Here is a 16,273-nt window from a genome sequence, read left to right as displayed (position 1 = left end):
AGGTTTGCCTCAGGACATATTGGCCAGGATCTTGGACCAGTTGTGGCTCCTTCCTTGAGTCTCTGCCATGCCCTCTCCATGGGTGCAGATGCCTGTCCTGTTCTCGGCCATATGCCCAGTGCCCGGCATGGGTCCTGGATCACAGAACTCATTTCATGAGTGTTTTCGAGGGGGTTTGGGTGAGGGCTTGGGTGGAAGGTGGCTGCAGACCCCCAAGGGATCCTCCAAGGATGCTGTGTAGATAAGTAAGAAGTAGTGTTTCCATGCTCTGTGTACGTGCCGGACGAGTGGGAGGTGTCTCGAGAGAAGATCACCCTCCTTCGAGAGCTGGGGCAGGGCTCCTTCGGCATGGTGTATGAGGGCAATGCCAGGGACATCATCAAGGGTGAGGCAGAGACCCGCGTGGCGGTGAAGACGGTCAACGAGTCAGCCAGTCTCCGAGAGCGGATTGAGTTCCTCAATGAGGCCTCGGTCATGAAGGGCTTCACCTGCCATCACGTGGTGAGTCCAGTGGGGGTGGGACATGGGCTGGCTTTCCTGACCCTTCCCTTTCTCTGCCTCCTCCTCCTGCACAGAGCGACAGAGGACACAGGGTGTAACCTCCTACCCACCCCTCACTCCACTAAGCTTCCCATCCTAGAGGTGTGAGGAGGGATCATTCCCTTCTCAAATCCCATCCTCTCCCACTTCGCCTGGAACCAGACTCTATCACTGTCTCATCACTTTCTGGAATGTTTCATTGCTTTCCAGAATCTTTCATCACTTTCTGGAATCTTCCATCATTTTCTGGAATCTTCCACCACTTTCCGGAATCTTCCATCATTTTCCACAATCTTCCATTGCTTTTTAGACTCTTCCATTTCTTGCTTTTTCCTGGCACCTTTGTAACCCAGGACCACATAGAGGTCCACCTGATACCACCTGCCCTCGTTCCTACTCTCCTTTGAAGGCAGCACCAACTCTTCCTGCCTTTCTGCTCCTTTGTTCCTCTTTGAGTCCTATGTGCTTTCATCCTTGCCACACATATTTATGGGGCATTTAAAGCCCTGCTCTTGTCCCTGTGATACAGTGGATACCTGCCCCTGTAGAGCTTCCAAAACAGCAGGCGGAGACAGACTCCAAAACCTTTATTTTTATTTTATTTCATATATATATATATATATATATATATATATATATATATATATATATATATTTTTTTTTTTTTTTTTTTTTTTTTTTTTTTTTTTTTTTTTTTTTTTTCCTGAAACGGAGTCTCGCTTTGTTGTGCAGGCTGGAGTGCAGTGGCACAATCTCAGCTCACTGCAAGCTCCACCTCCTGGATTCACACTATTCTCCTGCCTCAGCCTCCCGAGTAGCTGGGACTACAGGCGCCTGCTACCACGCCTGGCTGATTGTTTTTTTTTTTTTTTTTTGAGATGGAGTCTCACTCTGTCACCCAGGCTGGAGTGCAGTGGCATGATCTCAGCTCACTGCAACCTCTGCCTGCTGGATTCAAGCAATTATCCTGCCTCAGCCTCCCGAGTAGCTGGGACTGCAGGTGCCTGCCACCACGCCCAGCTAATGCTTTTTATACTTTTTTTTATTAGAGACGGGGTTTCACCATGCTGGCCAGGCTGGTCTTGAACTCCTGACCTCGTGATCCACCCGCCTTGGCCTCCCAAAGTGCTGGGATTACAGGCGTGAGCCACCACGCCCAGTGCCTGGCTAATTTTTTTGTATTTTCAGTAGAGACGGGGTTTCACTGTGTTAGCCAGGATGGTCTCGATCTCCTGACCTCATGATCCGCCTGCCTTGGCCTCCCAAAGTGCTGGGATTACAGGCGTGAGCCACCACGCCCAGCCTATTTTTATATATTTTTAAGACAGAGTCTCTCTCTGTCGCCCAGAGTGGAGTGCAGTGGCACAATCTCGGCTCACTGCAACCTCTGCCTCCCAGGTTCAAGCAATTCTCCTGCCGCGGCCTCCTGAGTAGCTGGGATAACAGGAGCCCACCACCACACCCAGCTAATTTTTGTATTTTTAGTAGAGATGGGGTTTCGCCATGTTGGCCAGGCTGGTCTCGAACTCCTGAATTCAGGTGATCCACCGGCCTCAGCCTCCCAAAGTGCTGGGATTACAGGCATAAGCCACCACCCCCAGCTGACTCCAAACCCTTTATACATTAGGAGCAAATGCTATGGAAACATGAAGAAAGGGAGGAAAGGAGGGTTGGACAGGGGTGTATTTGAGCAAAGACTTAGAGGACATGAGGAGCTGGGCCCTGTGGATGTGGCAGGGAACAGAGAGCCAGGCAGAGGGAATGATTAAAATACAAAGGCCTGGCTGGGTGCAGTGGCTATAATCCCAGCACTTTGGGAGGCTGAGGCAGGCGGATCACCAGAGGTCAGGAGTTCAAGACCAGCCTGACCAACATGGAGAAATCCTGTCTCTACTAAAAATACAAAAATTAGCCGGGTGTGGAGGCGGGCACCTGTAACCCCAGCTACTCGGGAGACTGAGGCAGGAGAATTGCTTGAACCCGGGAGGCAAAGGTTGCAGTGAGCCGAGATCACGCCACTGCACTCTAGCCTGGGTAACAGCAAGATTCCGTCTCGAAAATTAAAAAAAAAAAAATACAAAGGCCTATCTGTCTGCTGTCCGGGCAGGTATGTCTGCTCTCCTAGACCAGGGCTGAGCACGCTGCATCCAGGCCACAGGGTGCTGTGTGTGACATAGACACCAGGGAGGGAGGAGAACCCTGGTGAGTCGAATCACGGACCCTCCTCCAAGAACCCTGGTTGCTTGCTCTGCAGGTGCGCCTCCTGGGAGTGGTGTCCAAGGGCCAGCCCACGCTGGTGGTGATGGAGCTGATGGCTCACGGAGACCTGAAGAGCTACCTCCGTTCTCTGCGGCCAGAGGCTGAGGTAAGCTGCTTCGGGGGACCCAGCGGGGTACTCGGTGGAGCACCCGCTCCTGGCCTCCTCGGATCCCAGTGCTGCTGAAACACCAACCCCGTGTTTCTGTTTTAGAATAATCCTGGCCGCCCTCCCCCTACCCTTCAAGAGATGATTCAGATGGCGGCAGAGATTGCTGACGGGATGGCCTACCTGAACGCCAAGAAGTTTGTGCATCGGGACCTGGCAGCGAGAAACTGCATGGTCGCCCATGATTTTACTGTCAAAATTGGAGGTTCGTCTGGCTTTCTGCTTTGAAAACATAACGACCCAGGCCAGGTTTGATTTCAGAAGGAAGTTGTCTATAATGAGCCGTTAAGTCTTTTCTGATAATATAAAGGGGCAAGATACTTCTTTTTTTTTTGTGGGGTTTTTTTTGTTTTGTTTTGTCTTTTTGTTTTTGAGACGGAGTCTTACTCTGTCTGTTGCCCAGGCTGGAGTGCAGTGGTGTGATCTCAGCTCACTGCAACCTCCACCTCCCAGGTTCAAGTGATTCACCTGCCTCAGCCTTCCAAGTAGCTGGGACTACAGGTGTGCGCCACCATGCCTGGCTAATTTTTGTATTTTTAGTGGAGATGGGGTTTCATCCATGTTGGCCAGGATAGTCTTGATCTCCTGACCTCGTGATCCTCCTGCCTCGGCCTCCCAAAGTGCTGGGATTACAGGCGTGAGCCACTGCACCGGCTTTTTTTTTTTTTCTTTTTTCTGACATGGAGTCTTGCTCTGTCGCCCAGGCTGGAGTGCAGTGACAGGATCTCGGCTCACTGAACCTCCACCTCTTGGGTTCAAGCGATTCTCCTGCCTCAGCCTCCTGAGTAGCTAGGATTACAGGCGTGCGCCACCACACCCAGCTACTTTTTGTATTTTTAGTAGAGACGGAGTTTCACTGTGTTGGCCAAGATGGTCTCAAACTCCTGACCTCATATGATCCACCTGTGTTGGCCTCCCAAAGCACTGGGATTACAGGCATGAGCCACTGTGCCTGGCTGGGCAAGATTTTGGATGGGGACCCCCCACCAGCTGTCATTTAATTGCATGTATTGATAAACTCACTTACCCATTCACTTCTTTAAAAGATATGTTTGTAGGACCGGGGGTCCCGCCTGTAATCTCAGTGCTTTGGAAGTCCAATGTGTAAAGACTGCTTGAGTCCAGGAGTTTGAGACCAGCCTGGGCAACATAGTGAGACTCCATCTCCTTGAAAAGATTTTTTAAAAAGTGGGGTGTGGTGGTGCACACCTGTGGTCCCAGCTACTCAGGAGGCTGGGGTGGGAGGATTGCTTGAGCCCAGGAGGTGGAGGCTGCAGTGAGCTGTGACAGCATCACTGCACTCCAGCCTGGGTGACAGTGAGACGCTATTTCAAAAAACAAATAAAAAAGGAATATAGAGGGGACCAGAGCAGCGTGAGATGTGAGGATGAGGAGAGAGGCAGAAACCAGACCCAGAAGGACCTTGCGTGTCACAGCAAGTCATCTCGACATTATCTTACATTAGCAAGGGGCAGCAGGAAGTGATATGATTCTATTTATGACTCAAAAAGACATCTCCTGGCCAGGTGCGGTGGCTCACCCCTGTAATCCCAGCACTTTGGGAGGCTGAGGTGGGTAGATTACCTGAGATCAGGAGTTCGAGACCAGCCTGGTCAACACGGTGAAACCCTGTCTCTACTCAAAATACAAAACATTAGCTAGACATGGTGGCAGACAGCTGTAATCCTAGCTACTCAGGAGGCTGAGGCAAGAGAATTGCTTGAATCAGGGAGGTAGAGGTTGCAGTGAGCCAAGATTGCACCACTGCACTCCAGCCTGGAGGACAGAGTGAGGCTCCATATCAAAGAAAAAAAAAAAGAAAAATGTAGCTTCTTTGTGATTTGGTACCTTCTTTTCCCTCCCTTTAAACAGTAGCCCATCTTCCCCCTTCACTTCCCCATGCGTACCCTCAGAATCCATTCTTACTGGATTTGGCCACCACCCAGGTGAGCGCAGACGTGGGCCAGGTGAACCCCTCTTAGGGCTCTGTGAGAGGTGGGGCAGTCAAGGTGGCAGATGCTAGGACCAAGGCTGAAGGTTAAGAGCGTGTGAACCTTTTGTGTTGTCAGACTTTGGAATGACCAGAGACATCTATGAAACGGATTACTACCGGAAAGGGGGCAAGGGTCTGCTCCCTGTACGGTGGATGGCACCGGAGTCCCTGAAGGATGGGGTCTTCACCACTTCTTCTGACATGTGGTGAGTTGTGTGTGGATGGGTGGATGGACGCTGGGCTTGAATTCCAGGTGCTAGTGAGAGCCAAGAGCGGGGGAAGGAAGCCTGCCATCCTCCTGGACGCCCCATCAAGGAAAGGAAGGCAGCGTCCTGTCTTAGGATCTTCCCACGGCTACTCTTATGTCCTGACTAATCCTGTAGGCATTGTGAACCCCGAAAATCTGAGACAGGTCTCAGTTAATTTAGGAAGTTTATTTTGCCAAGGTTGAGGACGTGTGCCCGTGGCACAGCCTCAGGTGGTCCTGAGGACAGGTGCCCAAGGTGGTCAGAGCACAGTTTGGTTTTATACATTTTAGGGAGACATGAGACATCAGTCAACATATATAAGATGAACATTGGTTCGGTCTGGAAAGACGAGACAACTCGAAGTGGGGAGGGAGCTTCCAGGTTGTAGGTAGATAAGAGACAAATGGTTGCATTCTTTTGAGTTTCTGATGCGCCTCTCCAAAGGAGCCAATCAGATATGCAGGTATCTCAGTGAGCAGAGTGGGGACTCTGAATAGAATGGGAAGCAGGTTTGTCCAAGCAGTTCCTAGCTGGACTTTTTCCTTGAGTTTAGTGATTTGGGAGCCCCAAATTGATTTTCCTTTCACAGCATTTATGAACTGCAGCATGAATTGTTTTATTAAGTGGCTAACCATGTTCTAGAAACCAAGAGATGTGTTTGTGTGTGTGTTTGTGTGTGTATGTGTGTGCATATGTGTGTTTGTGTGTGTTTGCATGTGTGTGCGTGTGTGTGTTTGGGTGTGTGTGTTTGTGTGTGTATATGTGTTTGTGTGTTTGCATATTTGTGTGTGCATGTGTGCGCATGCGTGTTTGTGTGTATTTGCATGTGTGTGCACGTGTATGTGCGTGTGTGTTTGCATGTGTGTGTTTGCATGTATGTGTTGGCATGTGTGTTTGCGTGTGTGTGTGCGTTTGCGTGTGTGTGTTTGCGCGCGCGCGTGTGTGTGTGTGTCTAAATGGCTTCTTTGTTACTACTATCAACTGTCATCGGCAGGTCCTTTGGCGTGGTCCTTTGGGAAATCACCAGCTTGGCAGAACAGCCTTACCAAGGCCTGTCTAATGAACAGGTGTTGAAATTTGTCATGGATGGAGGGTATCTGGATCAACCCGACAACTGTCCAGAGAGAGTGTAAGTGTAGAAAGGGTTTAAGGTGTGTGAGGTGTTCGTTGAAAGGGTATTGCCCTTTACACGTGTGCTTGGTTTTGCCTTTCCTATGTCTACACGCTCACCGTGTTTGCATGCTGTATGTTACAGGTGTGTTTGTGTTTGCATAGCTTGTCTTTACATGCATGCTTGCATTTGCATATTGCATTGTGGTACACACACTTGAGTTCCCATATGTGCTACATGTACGCTTACGTTTGCATATTATATATTTACATAGGTATTTATGTTTGCATATTATATGTTTCTGTGTGCATCAGCATATCATGGCACATGTACACCTCATTTACATATTATAAGCACACATGTTTACATATTATGTCTTTACCTGCCTGCTTGTGTTCACAAATCATATGATTTTCTTGCATATTGTATCTTTGGAAGGTTGCACAAAACACCTATAGCGGTAGTTATCTTGGGAGAAGGGAACTGGAGACCTGGGGTTGGGGGAGAGAGACCTGTTTGCCTGTTAATTTTTTTTTTTTTTTTTTTTTTTTTGAGACGGAATCTTGCTCTGTCACCCAGGCTGGAGTGCAGTGGTGCGAGCTCGGCTGACTTCAAGCTCCGCCTCCCGGGTTCACACCATTCTCTTGCCTCAGCCTCCCGAGTAGCTAGGACTACAGGCACCCACCACCGCGCCTGGCTAATTTTTTTTTTTTTTTGTATTTTTAGTAGAAATGGGGTTTCACCGTGGTCTCGATCTCCTGACCTCGTGATCCACCCACCTTGGCTTCCCAAAGTGCTGGGATTACAGCCGCCTGTTAATTCTTTATACACTTAAAATTTTGTCAGGTAGCTGGGCATGGGTGGCTCACGCCTGTAATCCCAAGCAATTTGGGAGACCGAGGTGAACGATCACCTAAGGTCAGGAGTTCAAGACCAGCCTGGCCAACATGGTGAAACCCCGCCTCTATTAAAAATATAAAAATTACCCAGGCGCGGTCGTGGGCGCCTGTAATCCCAGCTACTCAGGAGGCTGAGGCAGGAGAATTGCTTGAATCGGGGAGGCAGAGGTTGCAGTGAGCAGAGACTGCACCATTGCACTGCAGCATGGGTGACAGAGTGAGATTCTGTCTCAAAAACAAACACAGACACACAAAAATTTTGTCAGGCATACATATTATATATTCCCCCCTCCAAATATATATGCATATGTACATATATATATATTTAGATGAAGTCTCGCTGTGTCACCCAGGCTGGTAGAGCGCAGTGGCACAATCACAGCTCACTGCAACCTTGAACTCCTGGACTCAGCCTCCTGGCTCAACCTCCCAAAGTGCTGGGATTACTCTTGAGCCAGTTTTGAAATGAGGAATCCCTTTTCAAAACCATCTTTCAGGCTGGACAGGATGGCTCATGCCTGGAACCTCAGCACTTTGGGAGGTTGAGGCAGGAGGATGGCTTGAGCCCAGGAGTTCAAGGCTGCAATGAGCTATGATTGCGCCACTGCACTCCATCCTGGGTGACAAAGTGAGAAACCCTGTCTCAAAAAAAAAAAAAAGCGGCCAGGCATGGTGGCTAACACCTGTAATCCCAGCACCTTGGGAGGCCAAGGTGGGTGGATCATTTGAGCCTAGGAGTTTGAGGCCAGCCTGGGCAACATAGCAAAACCCTGTCTCTGCAAAAAATACAAAAATTAGCTAGGCATGGTGGTGCACACCTGTGGTCCCAGCTACTTGGGAGGCCAAGGTGAGAGGATTGCTCGAGCCTAGGAGGCAGAGGCTGCAGTGAGCTATGATCATGCCACTGCACTCCAGCCTGGGTGACAGAATGAGACGCTGTGTCCAAAATAAGAAGAAGAAAAGCAAAAAGAAAACACCATCTCTCAGCACCTCTAGCAATGCTATTTCTGCCTTGACAATTGTCCACACACACAGCCAGCATCTGATGTGAGCACATGTGGTCCGTGGGTGTCGGCTGCAGGGACAAGAGTGGGGGTTTGGGAGGATGCGTGGCAGGGCCCCCAGACTCACCCAGGACGTGTCCTTCTGCCCCGCAGCACTGACCTCATGCGCATGTGCTGGCAATTCAACCCCAAGATGAGGCCAACCTTCCTGGAGATTGTCAACCTGCTCAAGGACGACCTGCACCCCAGCTTTCCAGAGGTGTCGTTCTTCCACAGCGAGGAGAACAAGGCTCCCGAGAGTGAGGAGCTGGAGATGGAGTTTGAGGACATGGAGAATGTGCCCCTGGACCGTTCCTCGCACTGTCAGAGGGAGGAGGCGGGGGGCCGGGATGGAGGGTCCTCGCTGGGTTTCAAGCGGAGCTACGAGGAACACATCCCTTACACACACATGAACGGAGGCAAGAAAAACGGGCGGATTCTGACCTTGCCTCGGTCCAATCCTTCCTAACAGTGCCTACCGTGGCGGGGGCGGGCAGGGGTTCCCATTTTCGCTTTCCTCTGGTTTGAAAGCCTCTGGAAAACTCAGGATTCTCACGACTCTACCATGTCCAATGGAGTTCAGAGATCGTTCCTATACATTTCTGTTCATCTTAAGGTGGACTCGTTTGGTTACCAATTTAACTAGTCCTGCAGAGGATTTAACTGTGAACCTGGAGGGCAAGGGGTTTCCACAGTTGCTGCTCCTTTGGGGCAACGACGGTTTCAAACCAGGATTTTGTGTTTTTTCGTTCCCCCCACCCGCCCCCAGCAGATGGAAAGAAAGCACCTGTTTTTACAAATTCTTTTTTTTTTTTTTTTTTTTTGCTGGTGTCTGAGCTTCAGTATAAAAGACAAAACTTCCTGTTTGTGGAACAAAAGTTCGAAAGAAAAAACAAAACAAAAACACCCAGCCCTGTTCCAGGAGAATTTCAAGTTTTACAGGTTGAGCTTCAAGATGGTTTTTTTGGTTTTTTTTTTTTCTCTCATCCAGGCTGAAGGATTTTTTTTTTCTTTACAAAATGAGTTCCTCAAATTGACCAATAGCTGCTGCTTTCATATTTTGGATAAGGGTCTGTGGTCCCGGCGTGTGCTCACGTGTGTATGCACGTGTGTGTGTCCATTAGACACGGCTGATGTGTGTGCAAAGTATCCATGCGGAGTTGATGCTTTGGGAATTGGCTCATGAAGGTTCTTCTCAAGGGTGCGAGCTCATCCCCCTCTCTCCTTCCTTCTTATTGACTGGGAGACTGTGCTCTCGACAGATTCTTCTTGTGTCAGAAGTCTAGCCTCAGGTTTCTACCCTCCCTTCACATTGGTGGCCAAGGGAGGAGCATTTCATTTGGAGTGATTATGAATCTTTTCAAGACCAAACCAAGCTAGGACATTAAAAAAAAAAAAAGAAAAAGAAAGAAAAAACAAAATGGAAAAAGGAAAAAAAAAAAGAACTGAGATGACAGAGTTTTGAGAATATATTTGTACCATATTTAATTTTTAAAGTCTCTGGTATTAGCCTCATAAGTTATTGACTATTCCCCGGGGTTGGCGGGGAGTGGGGACATGAGTTGGTCTGCCTGTTGTGGGGCCGGGAAGGGGAGGGAGTCAGGCACAAGTGGCCTCTTTGTTTGGTCTTAAAGGCATCCATTTCTGGGAATGAAGCCATGTTCGCTGCTAACACTTTTGGATGTTGTGAGGCCACGTGGAGTGTGTGAGAGACTAGGTTTTATGGATGGTCTGGTTCAGGTACCAGGTCTGCTGGAAGGTTCCTGTTCGGATAAGCTGGTAGCTACCTAGCTCTGAGCCTGCCTTCAAGAACACCTGTGTTCATCCTCTGATTCTCTGTGTGTACCTCTTGTGGCGTTTCCTCTCCCGGGTGTGAACATCCTAACCGTTATTGTGCAAACCCAAGAACGTCAGATCCCAAAGCACAACAACCTGGATGGACTTTGGGAACATCTAAGCAATGTAAGAGAGAGGTGCACTGAGAGTACGTCTTGGTCCCCTCCACCCTGAGAGCATCTGACGGTCCTCAGTACTGAACTCCCGGAAGCTGCTCTGAGCCCGGTGACCTCATCTGGGCCAGGTGTGGTGCCTGAGCTGAATGCTCAGGTGCTTACAGTGTTGCAATCCCTAAGAGAGTAGAGTCTGGAGGAGAAACCGTGAAAAAGACCTTACACACCACCAAGAACTTCCGAATGGGCGTGAATCCACCGTTTCTTCTCTTTGCAAAAAGAACCACCACAGCTGCTCAAAGAACACAGTGAACTCATCACTTTGGTTCATCAAAAAATCATCGCCCATGCGTTATTCCTGAGTGCATTTTCTTACAACTTTTTGACTGCTTCCTTTTCTTCTTCTCTTAAGAGTTGTGGGCTTAAGAATGGGATAGAGTCATAATGGCAACCTCCAAGCCCTCTCAATTCTTGATTAAGAACACAGGTAGACATGAATCCCAATTGTCTATTGCTATCTTATTTATATGATTCGGGAAAATACAGCATGTAAAAATATTGCTGAGGAGCCTCAGTGATTGGGTACAAGAAGCAAGAGTACAGAAATTATTTTTGCCAAATTTATTTTGTAAATATGAGGGTCTGTACCTAAATTTAAAAAAAAAACACGTAGAACTAGGTATTTTGTTCTCTTCTTAGTAAATTTGTAGTGGTTGTATACTACACTAGCTGCAATTTTCACATTTTTCTAATTCAGAAAGGTTTTTCTTATATTAGGGGAAAAAGTATTTATTTTAATATATAAAATCACTCTGAAAATCACTCTCATAAAAAATGGAGCGCATGTAAATTTTTATCAAAGAAAAATAAACAGGTGAATGGGGGATAGTGATTTTCTTTTTTCAGCACAGTCTACCTCAGTGTATTGTTAAGATGTGATTCAATCATGGACATCTTTGAGATTTCAGAATTCTACCTGGAACCGGTCTGAATCAGGGAACGTGTGTATCAGCTGATTCGAATGCCAGGGACCAGTAAGAATTTTGAGGGAGGGAGTTGGGATGGAGAAGGTATGGCCTTTATGCGAGCATAGATCCTTTTCTTCCTGGCTGGTAATATTCTTCTCTGAATTTAATCTTCCTTTAAAAAAAAATCCTCCATCTATTGTCACTATGTTCCCCAAACATAAACTAAGTTCCAGGCTGTCATGATGTATCTGATATATGGGGTAACCCAGCAAGGTGTACCTTCCTTTGGTGAGAGATGGCTGCCGGGGCAAAGACGGGCTTTGATTCAGAGCAAGCATTCCCACCTGTTCCATGGAATCCCCCTGAAGTGAGCACAAAGGTGCCCTGGGCTCCCTGATGGTTTATGCCCACTCCTTTCAGGCTGGTGATGCACCTTACACACAAACACCTAATGCAATGTCTTTTTAAATTCTCCAAGTGGGATGGGAGCATGTGAGGGAAATTCCAATCCAAAACCCATTAATGTGCTGAACGCTTTTTTTTTTTTTTTTTTTTTTTTTGCAACAACACCTTGGACCTCTGTGTTGGGGTTTGACTGACCTCAAGCTGATATTATTGGACCTTGTGCAGCTTTGATAACCCATGTGAGAGTCTAGGCAGGACCAGTGGGGCCCAAATCTTGCTGCTCTTGTACTTTTAGGCACTGCCCTTGCAGACTCACCTTTCTCCACCTGCCCTGGAGAAAGGTAGGGTGTGCTGGGCCTGCCCCTTGCAAATGGGATTCACCAGTTTCATTTATTTGACTCTACTGCCACAGTGAAAAGAGCAAACAGCTATTGGGTTGCAAACCTCCTTTGACATTAGGAAATGTTGACTTTGTAACAATAAAACTTTGGTCCTAGAAAGACACGGTTGTCCTGGGAGTTTGTAGTGTTAAGTTGCAACAACAACAACAAAAAGCAACAAAACCAGCTTAGGATAACACTTTTTGTTGCTTGTTCTTAAAGATGTCTCACTATGATTAAAACCCTTTTCATTAATGTAGTGAAAGCCACACAGGAGTTCCTTCTTCCAGGAGGAGAATACCAAGCACATCACTTTCTCTCTGCATCAGTGATGTCAAATACGCATCAGAAAATGTTCAGGTTTTAGGAGCTGTCCTAGGTGCTGTTTCATCATTGGAAGCAGTGAGAAAGAGAAGCACTGCTGCTTGTCTGGATATAGGCTGAGGATGATTGAGAGAAGCTGTGGGAACTGACACAAGGGTCTGCATAGGTCATCCTGTGACCCTGGGGACTATGTTACCAACTGACAGACAGATCTTTCACTGTATCCTAGCAGGGCAGGTAGTCCACCAAGAAATGTGCTTATTGGATTGGGAGGTGTTTATTTGTAGTCTGCTGTAACACGTGTGAAAGAGCAGGAGCGTCATCAGCATATGACTTGCGCTGGTCATCCGGTAAATGGATGTGCTGTAGTCCCAGTGCTAATCATTTCTCTCCTTCACAGTGGGTGGAAGTTTAGGGTTAAATGTCCTTTGAATGTCACCTGGTGAGTCCTTGACACCTTAGGCTCTTCAGAAACAATGGTTTTGTTGAGGATGGGGAACAGGGAATGCCGATTTTATATACATGGTACACAGAGAGGGGTGTCACTTCAGAAAATCTTCCAGCATGTTCTTCAGAATATTAATTTATATGCGAGGTGAGGTTGGGAATGAAAAGAACAGGTCAGCACTTTTTTTTTTCCTAGAACATACAAAAGAACATGGTGGACTTTCAGGGAGTGCAATGGAAGGTGAATATTTCCTTAAGGGTCCCCGAGAAATGGGAGTGAGGGGAGGGGACACAATGGCTTTTTGAGCTTACTTTTACCTTCTGATACTAGTCAAGGTCCAGAACCAGCCACCAGCCAAATTTCTATCTGGGTGCGGGCCACTGAAAATCCTTGTTAAAAACCAGATCACAAATCTGGGGCTCTTGGTCCCATTGGAGAAGGAAGGAAGAGCCTCAAAATAAGTGTGCACCCATGCACATATTCAGGAACAGCTTGTTTAGTCTTTACACTTTGCCTGAAAGTTGCTTCTCCTCGTCCCTTTGTGTGCCTGGGTGGCCTCGGCCCTGTGCGTTGGCAACGCAGGATCAAATGTGCTGCAGCTTTTGCAGAAAACAACTCAGAAACACAAAACCCCCCAACAGCTCAATTATTATTTTTTCAATGTTTTCCTACAAGAGCCAAGTAGCACCATGTACAGAAGACGCCTTTTTTTTTGGAATATTGAAATCGTTCTGCATGTAAAATATGGGATAATGACCTGTTTATATTAAAATTCTGATTAAATTATCTGAGAATACGCTTGTTTTTGTGTGGTGTCCCGGTAAGGACCTGTCGTGTGGTCGGGGGATGTGGCTATGAGTTGGGCTGTGTTAAGGAAAACCTCTTGGAATATGTAGGTGCCTTTTTTTAGAGGAGAAAAACACCTAGATTCTTCCACACATGAAAAGGGAGGTTAAATAGTTGCTACCAGCAGAGTTGATGACTCGTAGGGACATACTTGTATGGCCAAACTGGTGGTTTAAATATTGCACTATTTCCATACCATTTGGTAAGTAAGCGCTTCCCCAAGGGCTCCCAGACCTCCCCATGGTCCAACCACTAAAGGGTTCACTCCGAGAATACCAATGAACCTTCAAGATCTTGCTCTATTCTGACATGCGGGAAACTCATATGTTAAGTATTTTCAATGTCATCCTGGGAGTGGAGACCTGTCCCAGGTTGGGTGGACAGGTGAGTGACCATGGGTTAGACCATGGGATTGAAAGCCTTTTGAATAGTCTTTCTTGAGTGGCTTAAAACAGCAACTGTTTATTTATTTTCTTTTTTTGTTTGTTTGTTTTTGTTTTTGTTAGTTTGTTTTTTGAAATGGAGTCTCACTCTGTCACCCAGGCTGGAGGACAGTGGTGCAATCTCAGCTCACTGCAACGCTGTCTCCGGGTTCAAGCAATTCTCCTGCCTCAGCCTCCCAAGTAGCTGGGATTACGGGCGTGTACCACCATTCCCAGCTAATTTTGTATTTTTAGTTTCATCATGTTGGCCAGACTCGTCTCAAACTCCTGACCTCAGGTGATCCGCCCGCCTCAGCCTCCCAAAGTGCTGAGATTACAGGTGTGAGCCACCACACCCAGCCTTATTATTATCATTATGATGATTATTTTTGTATTTTTAGTAGAGACGGGTTTTCGCCATGTTGCCCAGGCTGGTCTCGAACTACTGTTCTCAAGCGATCTGCCCGCCTCGGCCTCCCAAAGTGCTGGGATTGCAGGCATGAGCCACGGTGCCTGGCCTGTTTCTTACAGTTCTATGTGTTGGTTGGGTGGTTCTTCCGGGAACAGCCTCACTCCTGTGCTGAGGCCTCTGCTGGGAGAGCCAGGATTGCTTGTCTTCTAGGAGGTTCACTCAGGCTTGTTCATATGGTGGTGGTTGCAGGGATACCCAGTCGGAAGGAACAAAAAGCCCCCAAATGTAAATATTTTCCAAACTTCTGCTCGTGTGGTATTTGCTACTGTCCCATTGCCCAAAGTAAGTCCCATGGCCAAACCCAGAGTCAGCTTTGGAGAGGACTGTCCAAGGATGCAGATAAAAGGTGATGTGAACCAACTAGAGTCCAATCCTGCAATAATCTTCCACTCCTTTACCCTCCTATCATTATTATTATATTTTTTTAATAATATAAAAGTGGGCCGGGCGCGGTGGCTCATGCCTGTAATCCTAGCACTTTAGGAGGCTGAGGCGGGCCGATCACAAGGTCAGGAGATCGAGACCTTGGCCAGGAGATCACCTGGCCAACATGGTGAAACCCCGTCTCTACTAAAAACACAAAAATTAGCTGGGCGTGGTGGCGGGCGCCTGTAGTCCCAGCTACTCGGGAGGCTGAGGCAGGAGAATCGCTTGAACCTGGGAGGCAGAGGTTGCAGTGATCTGAGATCATGCCACTGTACTCCAGCCTGGGCAACAGAGTGAGACTCTGTCTCAAAAATAAAAAAAAAAATACTACTACTACTACTACTAATAATAATATAAAGGTAAAGTTCTCACTTTACCATCCTATTATTATTATTATTCCTTGTTTTTGAGATGGGAGAAATAGCAGTATGGATGATGACAGGGATAATCCAGTCATCAGAGGGAAAAGAGATGAAGGCAGGGGATCACTAGCTCTATGTCCTTAAGCAAACAAGTGACGATGAGATCTACGGCACAGGTGGAGGGGTTGACCTTAGCTAAAGTGCAAAGTATGTGGGCTGTGGAATCTCTCTCCCTCCCAAAGGCAATGGAACTCAATCCCCAACCCCTCCAGGCGGTCTCTGGATTTCTCCAGACCACCTACCTCCAGCTGGCAGTGTTCTGAGCTGGGCCATCGAAAGTTGAGGTTATTGAATGTGTGTGTTTCCCCATTATCCTGGGAGCTTTCCAGAGGCTGCATGAAAGTTGCGTCTGAATTCTTCACATTCCTCCAAACTCTGGCCCAGAGTTCCGCAGTATGGGGTTGTTAAATTAGCCTGAAGACACACAAAGCAACTAACTGGCTAAGTGGCTGGTTTTACAAAGGGCGGTGGTCCTAACCCTGGGCTCTGGAATCCCAATGGTCATTCCAGCTCTCTCCCCTCCTCCTTTCTGCTCCCAGTTCTCTGCCATCCAGCTAGCAGGCTGATCATGGCCCACAGAGGCCCTACCCTCCTATTATTGACGATAGACCTTACCTTATATGACCATGGCAAAGATTAAATGAGGTAACATTGATCTCTCATGCTCCCTTCAGGATGGACATTCCCATATCCCCAAGTCCCTCCAAGTTCCCTGTTCTCCAAGAAATTGATGCTACTGCTTATCGGCTGTGGTGGCAGCGTAAATTCTGCTTCCCTGGGTTTGTGAAATTCAATGTGAGTCTCTTGGAAAATGGAAAATGTTTTTCTTCCAAGGAAAGCTCATCAAGGAAGGCATCAGTCTCAGGGAGGGTGGACGGCCGTGTGGTCTCTGTGCAGAGGAGCCACTTGGATTCCTTGAAAGCCCTGGCCAAGTGATCACAGCACCTTTTAG

The 16,273-nt window shown here is 47.6% G+C and overlaps 1 protein-coding gene across 4 annotated transcripts in view, besides 2 other annotated features; it reads left to right on the top strand.

Moving 5' to 3' along the window:
• Positions 1-13,519, top strand: part of INSR (insulin receptor) — a 182,150-nt gene extending 168,631 nt beyond the window's left edge. For all 4 annotated transcript variants that reach the window (XM_011527989.4, NM_001079817.3, XM_011527988.3 and 1 more), the window contains 6 exons: positions 257-501; positions 2,795-2,905; positions 3,011-3,170; positions 5,035-5,164; positions 6,201-6,335; positions 8,374-13,519. In XM_011527989.4, the coding sequence (XP_011526291.2) occupies positions 257-501; positions 2,795-2,905; positions 3,011-3,170; positions 5,035-5,164; positions 6,201-6,335; positions 8,374-8,728 (1,136 nt within the window). In that variant the 3' untranslated portion in view covers positions 8,729-13,519. The remainder of the gene's footprint in view (positions 1-256; positions 502-2,794; positions 2,906-3,010; positions 3,171-5,034; positions 5,165-6,200; positions 6,336-8,373) is intronic.
• Positions 12,219-12,419: a silencer, noted in NCBI's record as "peak3314 fragment used in MPRA reporter construct". NCBI's record gives its function as "represses an SCP1 promoter by STARR-seq MPRAs in K562 erythroleukemia cells {active_cell/tissue: K562}" and the evidence as "EXISTENCE:reporter gene assay evidence [ECO:0000049][PMID:32103011]".
• Positions 15,529-16,048: an enhancer, noted in NCBI's record as "NANOG-H3K27ac hESC enhancer chr19:7109747-7110266 (GRCh37/hg19 assembly coordinates)". NCBI's record gives its function as "activates a minimal SCP1, AML or CMV promoter by ChIP-STARR-seq in naive H9 embryonic stem cells {active_cell/tissue: H9 hESC(naive)}" and the evidence as "EXISTENCE:reporter gene assay evidence [ECO:0000049][PMID:30033119]".

Source organism: Homo sapiens, chromosome 19 (assembly GCF_000001405.40).
Source record: "Homo sapiens chromosome 19, GRCh38.p14 Primary Assembly".
NCBI lineage: Eukaryota > Metazoa > Chordata > Mammalia > Primates > Hominidae > Homo > Homo sapiens.
The sequence above is the reverse complement of the archived record's forward strand: the minus strand, read 5'-3'. Positions and strand labels throughout refer to the sequence as shown.